A 7,023-nucleotide genomic window follows, 5' to 3' on the forward strand; every position below is an offset into this window, starting at 1 on the left:
AGGTATTGAGAAGTTTCTTGGATCCATTTTATTGCATTTCATTTATTAAACTATTGCCTAAATATGTTTTCTGTAAAGAAAATTTAATGTTGCTTTTCTTCTAGTGATTGAAATTAGGCTTTTCATTATCCCAATTCATTAATAAATGGGAAAATAATTTTTTTCTCAGCCTCATGAACGACTCAAATATTGCTCTCTTTCTTTTTCTCTAGTCCATCTCAAAATACTCAGGAGATATACACGTACTGCAAATTATATAAAATAATTTGTGCTCAGATATTCTTCCAATGCTTTTCACCCCAAAATGCATTTTTTGTGGAATTACATAGTCCCAGTATGAATTTTGAGAAAAAGGTTTGATTGTTTTGCCTTTGTGAAAGAGAAACTGTGGCTATAGGGAGTTAGGCATCTTTAAAGAAGTTGCCAAACGTACATTAGCATCTTTCATGGGAATTTCATTCAGGGGAGGAAAATAGAGAAAGAGAAAAAATAGTTGGAAAAAAAGAAAAAAAAAAAAAGAAAAAAAGAAAAAGGAAATGAACACAGAAAATCTGAGACAAACAGATAAAATAAGATGGTAGACATCCCAAAATATCAGTAATCAACAATGGACTAGTTCCTCTAGTGAAAAGACAGTGAGTGTCAAACTGTGTTTATTTACATACAGGCACACACATGCATTATACACACATGTATTCTTTTTATGAGGCATATCTAAAACATAAGGATACAGAAAGGTTAGAAGTAAAGGCTGAAAATTGATCTCCATGCAATACATAATCAAAAGAAAGCTACACCAGCTATATTAATGCCAGACAAAATAGACTTTAAGACAAAGGGCATTCCTTTATCTGGAAGACGAAGAGGGTCACTACCTAATGATTAAAAGTTCCATTCACCAGGAAGAGAAAAAAATCATAAGCTTGTATGCACATGATAACTTAGCCTTAAAAGGTAGGAAGCGAAAGTGACCAAATGTACGAAAAAATAACACATCCACCTAATAGTGGGAGAATCTAATAGATCTTTCCTGATAATAGTTGAAACAGACCCCCAAAAAATCAGGATATAGAACTTGTAAAGCACAGGAGCTGGATATACTGAACATGTTTATAATACTGTACCAAACAGCTGCGCAAACACACTCTTTGTAAGCACATGTAGATTTATGAAATTTGATGACACTGAACCAAAAGCAAGCCTCAAACTGTCAAAGGATTACTATCACTGTGGATAGCCTACTCCAATCAGAGGGAAAATGAGTTAGACATTAAAAAGATAAAAAACTCCCATCTATTTGCAATTTGAGAAACATACATCTAAATAATTCATGAGACAGGGAGAGATCATAAGGGAAATTAGAGAGTATTTAGAATCAACTGGCGCAGTTGCTCACGTCTTTAATCCCAGCACTTTGGGAGGCTCAGGCAGAAGGATGCTTGAGCCCAGGAGTTCCAGACCAGCCTGGGCAAGACATTGAGACTGTGTCTGTACAAAAATAAAATAAAATTAGCCAGGTGTGGCCAGGCATGGTGGCTCATGCCTGTAATCCCAGCATTTTGGGAGGGCAAGGTAGGAAGATTGCCTGAGCTCAGGAGTTTGAGACCAGCCTGCGCAACATAGCGAGACTTCATCTCATTTAAAAAAAGAAAAAAAAAGAAAAAAAGCCAGTTGTGGTGGTGCCTGCTACTCAGGAGGCTGAAGTAGGGGCGGGTGGCTTGAGCCCAGGAGTTTGAGGCTGCAGTGAACTCTGATCACACCACTGCACTCCAGCCTGGGTGACAGAGAGACTCTGTCTCTCTTTTTTTTTTTTTTTTTTAGGACAGAGTCTCGTTCTGTCACCCAGGCTGGAGTGCAGTGGCAGGATCTTGGCTCACTGCAACCTCCGCTTCCCAGGTTCGAGCAATTCTCCCATCTCAGCCTCCCGAGTAGCTGGGATTACAGGCGCCCACCACCATGCCCGGCTAATTTTTATATTTTTAGTAGAGACAGGGTTTCACCATGTTGGCCATGCTGGTCTTGAACTCCTGACCTCAAGTGATCCGCCTACCTCAGCCTCCCAAAGTGCTGGGATTACAGGCTTGAGCCACTGTGCCCTGCCTTCTATTTTAAAAAATAAATAATAAAACATATCAAAACTGTTCAGGTGCTGGGTGTGGTAGCACGTGCCTCTACTCCCAGCTATTTGGGAGGCTGAGGCAGGAGGATCACTTGAGCCCAACTTAGGCAATATAGCAAGACCCCATCTCAAAAAAAAAAACAAAACAAAATTAAACGAACTGGTGGAGAACAGCTGAAACAGTACTTAGAAATGGATGTCTTGCTGGGTGTAGTGGCTCATACCTATAATCCCAGCACTTTGGGAGGTCAAGGAGGATAGATCACTTGAGCCCAAGGAGTTTGAGACCAGCTTGGGCAATGTGGCAAAACCCCATCTCTACTAAAAATACAAAAAATTAGCTGGATGTGGTGGCAGGTGCCTATAGTCCCAGCTACCCAAGAAGCCGAGGCAGGAGGATTGCCTGAACCCTAGAGGTTGAGGCTGCAGTGAGCCAAGATTGTACCACTGCACCTCATTCTGGGCAACAGAGTGAGACTCTTATCTCCAAAAAAAAAAAAAAAAAAAAAAAGACAGTCACACACAACAGCAAGGGAGAACCTCAGGAGCAAGATCTAAGCAAAAAAAGCAAGTTGTGGAAGAATACCTATAACATGATAACATTTTTAGAGATACAAATAGATGTTGTAAACTCTAAAGAAAAGCAAGGGAATGATAAAATTCCAGAAATGACAACTTTGAAGGAGGAAAGGAATGTGACAGAGGGAAAAACCAACCTTGTCCCACCGGGGACATCAGAACAATAGCAGTGTTCTAGAATTGGGCATGTTTGTATCATTCTCTTATATCTTGCATTCATTTTATAACCTTTGAATATGGACAATATTTAATAAAGTTAATTACATTTAAAATAAGTGCACGACCCAGCTTGGTGGCTCACGCCTGTAATCCCAGCACTTTGGGAGGCCCAGGTGGACAGATCACTTGAGGTCAGGAGTTCAAGACCAGCCTAGCCAACATGGTGAAACCCATCTCTACTAAAAATGTAAAAATTAGCCGGGCATGGTGGCCGGCCCCTATAATCCCAGCTACTTTGGAGGCTGAGGCAGGAAAATCACTTGAATCCAAGAGGTGGAGGTTGCAGTGAGCTGAGATCACACCACTGCACTCTAGCCTGGATAACAGAATGAGACTCCGTCTCAAACAAATACATAAAGTAAGTGTAATTGCTAAATTACAGGATACCTGTTCTTGTATATGTGCAAGAAAAGTATACTTTTTTTGGAGAAAAGGTTAACTTATAATGAGTTCTTAATTAGGTTTCATGATTTAAATTTCCCCTTCTGTTAAAGGTTTTTCTTTTTTTTTTTTCCTCCCCTTCCCTTTGCCTTGCTGCTCCTTAATTGTAGGAAAGATTTGAAGCACTCTTCACCATCTATGATGACCAGGTTACTTTTCAGCTGTTTAAAAGCTTTAGAAGAGTCAGAATAAATTTCAGCAAACCTGAAGCGGCAGCAAGAGCGCGAATAGAACTCCACGAAACAGACTTCAATGGGCAGAAGCTAAAGCTATATTTTGCACAGGTACTTCACCGTGCAGAGAACACTGTTCTCTAAACTTGTTTTTCTCCATCCAAAAATATTTTTATTTCACCGTTTTCTATATTATTATAGCAGAGGTGTGTAGAGTGAACCATCTCAATCAGCAAATAATACAAAAATATTTTCCCTTTATTTTATAGATACATAATTTCGTGTATTTATTAAGCACATTTACCTCCTAAGTTGTTTTGCTGAGACTAGTAGTTGAAGGAGTTGATTTTTCTGGCAGCTTTGCTCAACTGGGACTCTGCGTGGGTTACGCCCTGACACCCTAGTGTTCGGAAACTAACTTCTCTCCTGTGCATCTAGAATGGTATACATGAAATAAGACATGAAATCCTTGGGAAAACTGAGAAAATGGTCTCTTAAATCATTTCCATAATTCATATGAGGAACCAGGGAGGTCACGGAACTGTACAAAAGGGCTGTCTTCGACTTTGAAATTGCAGAGGACCCTGTAGGGTACCAAAAATTGGCTACGCTTAGTATATTCTAATCCTGCATTGGTGTGACTCTCTGAGAAACCAATTTCTTCTGAGAAGAGTGGGCAAAATCAGGAGATTACTCGTGTATTAAATGCACTGTTTTATTTTCAAAACATTTTTTTCAGTCTCCCTTACAAATTAAAAAAAAAAGGTTTGTTTTCTTGCCTTCCACGTAAAAACCTAAATGAAAGAGATGTCTTGACGTTTCTTGGTAGAGTCTCTTGAGATGGAGTACAAATAAGTCCATATAACCTAATGTCTTCTAAGATTGGAATTTAGTAGTTGCTGTCGTTCATTTCTCTCTTCATCCATTTATTTATTTATTTATTATTTTTATTTTTTTATTTTTTGAGATGGAGTCTCACTCTGTCACCCAGGCTGGAGTGCAGTGATGCAATCTCAGCTCACCACAACCTCCGCCTCCCAGGTTCAAGTGATTCTCCCGCCTCCGCCTCCCAAGTAGCTGGGACTACAGGCATATGCCACCACACCTAGCTAATTTTTGTATTTTTAGTAGAGATAGAGTTTCACCATGTTGGCCAGGCTGATCTCAAACTCCTGACCTCAGGTGACCCACCCGCCTCGGCCTCCCAAAGTGCTGGGATTACAGGTGTGAGCCACCACACCTGGCCCATCCATTTATTTTTTATGCAGTTAATATTCATGAAGCACCTACTGTGTGTGGCCATGTGCTGTACACTGAGTGGCCAGTGGTGAGCCAAACAGACCCAGTCCCACCCTTTTGGAGATTATAGACTGTTTACAAGAAATAGGCCAGGCACGGTGGCTCACACCTGTAATCCCAGCACTTTGGGAGGCCAAGGTGGGCGGATGATGAAGTCAGGAGATCGAGACCATCCTGGCTAACACAGTGCAACCCCGTCTCTACTAAAAATATGAAAACAAAATTAGCCGGGCGTGGTGACATGCACCTGTAGTCCCAGCTACTCGGGAGGCTGAGGCAGGAGAATGTGAACCCGGGAGGTGGAGTTTGCAGTGAGCTGAGATTGGACCACTGCACTCCAGCCTGGGCGACAAAGTGAGACTCCGTCTCAAAAAAAAAAAAAAAAAAAAAAAAAAAGAAATGTTTAATTTTCTACAAAAAGATGGAACAGTCAACATAAAGGTGAAAATGAAGAAAACATAGCCCGGTTTGCAAACTGGCTTTGAGCGTCTCGCTCCCTGCAGGTGCAGATGTCCGGCGAAGTGCGGGACAAGTCCTATCTCCTGCCGCCCCAGCCTGTCAAGCAGTTCCTCATCTCCCCTCCAGCCTCTCCCCCGGTGGGGTGGAAGCAGAGCGAAGATGCGATGCCTGTTATAAATTATGATTTACTCTGTGCTGTTTCCAAATTGGGACCAGGTAATAAACTTCTATTTTTCCTATTTTCTTCCCCAAGAAACTTTTGTATTGAAGATCGTATTCAGCAGTGTGCATTGTGGCAGTATGATTAGAGCAGAGGATAAAGTCAAACACACCTGGGTTCAGATTCCAGCTGTGGCATCTGCTTGCTCTGTGATCTTGAACAAGTTACTTAGCCTCCATTTTCTGAGCTTCTGCTTTTCCATCTATAAAGCAGGGAGAATCATATGCACCATTCAGTGTGGTTATAAGTACTAAATGAGGGCCAGGTGTGGTGGCCCACGCCTGTAATCCTAGCACTTTGGGAGGCTAGGGTGGGCGGATTGCTTGAGGTCAGGAGTTCGAGACCAACCTGGCCAACATGGGGAAACCCCGTCTCTACTAAAATATAAAAAATTAGCTAGGCATGGTGGCGTACGCCTATAGTCCCAGCTACTTGGGAGGCTGAGGCAGGAGAATTGCTTGAACCCAAGAGGCAGAGGATGCAGTGAGCCGAGATCGTACCACTGTACTCCAGCCTAGGCAATGAAGCAAGACTCTGTCTCCAAAAAAGTAAAAATAAAAAATTAAGTATTAAATGATGTATAGATAATACTCAGTAAATGTAACTAATTTTTACTACTACAGATTTTGCTAGTACTTGATAGGCAGTTAGTGAATATGAGGTGCCTTCTCTCCCCAGCCCCACCAAGTATCAGACAAACAACAACTACTTTGAATATATTACAAGGAATTGGTGGTGATATCATCTCACTCCTTCAATATTTTTGTCATTTCTTTTTCATTTCCTTTTTCCTTCTCTTTACTTTCTCTACCTCTCTTCCTTTTAAAATCATATAAGAAACCGATGTGATGCTGGTTCAGACAGTTGTCCACCCAAGACAGAGTTATGTCTCTTGTAGGGGAATAAAAGAGGCATTTTGAGGAAGAAGTGATTCAGTGCTGTTTTTAGACGTTAGAGCTGTGTCTTAGATATCCAAGTTCCTATAATCAAGGGAGTGCCTATGCTGCCTGGATCCTTACAAGTATCTCCCAAACTGAAACCATTATGATGTCAGAGTCACTTGGCTGGGTGCGGTGGCTCACACCTGTAATCCCAGCACTTTGGGAGGCCAAAACAGGCAGATCACCTGGGGTCAGGAGATCGAGACCAGCCTGGCCAACATGATAAAACCCCGTCTCTACTAAAAATACAAAAACAAATTAGCCGGGCGTGATAGCGGGCGCCTGTAGTCCCAGCTACTCGGGAGGCTGAGGCAGGAGAATGGCGTGAACCCGGGAGGCGGAGCTTGCAGTGAGCCGAGGTCGCACCACTGCACTCCAGCCTGGGCGACAGAGCAAGACTCCATCTCAAAAAAAAGAAAAAAAAAAACCATCTCGACTGAAAATACAAAAATTAGCTGGGCGTGGTGGCACACACCTGTAGTCCCAACTACTCGGGAGGCTAAGGCAGGAGAATCGCTTGAACCTGGGAGGCAGAAGTTGGAGTGAGCCGAGATCGTGCCACTGCACTCCAGC

General features: G+C 42.1%; 1 protein-coding gene across 10 annotated transcripts in view, besides 1 other annotated feature; it reads left to right on the forward strand.

The window, feature by feature from the left end:
* The window catches only part of RCAN3 (RCAN family member 3), a 38,697-nt gene that overhangs the window by 25,406 nt on the left and 6,268 nt on the right, over positions 1–7,023 (forward strand). For 6 of the 10 annotated variants that reach the window (NM_001251979.2, NM_001251984.2, NM_013441.4 and 3 more), the window contains 2 exons: positions 3,469–3,642; positions 5,334–5,505. The exons of 1 other annotated variant lie outside the window; for it this stretch is intronic. In NM_001251979.2, the coding sequence (NP_001238908.1) occupies positions 3,469–3,642; positions 5,334–5,505 (346 nt within the window). The remainder of the gene's footprint in view (positions 1–3,468; positions 3,643–5,333; positions 5,506–7,023) is intronic. 3 more of the 10 variants (NM_001251980.1, NM_001251981.2, NM_001251982.1) reach the window with 3 other exon arrangements.
* Positions 6,280–6,931: an enhancer, noted in NCBI's record as "H3K4me1 hESC enhancer chr1:24860519-24861170 (GRCh37/hg19 assembly coordinates)". NCBI's record gives its function as "activates a minimal SCP1, AML or CMV promoter by ChIP-STARR-seq in primed H9 embryonic stem cells {active_cell/tissue: H9 hESC(primed)}" and the evidence as "EXISTENCE:reporter gene assay evidence [ECO:0000049][PMID:30033119]".

Source organism: Homo sapiens, chromosome 1, assembly GCF_000001405.40.
Source record: "Homo sapiens chromosome 1, GRCh38.p14 Primary Assembly".
Taxonomy (NCBI): Eukaryota; Metazoa; Chordata; class Mammalia; order Primates; family Hominidae; genus Homo; species Homo sapiens.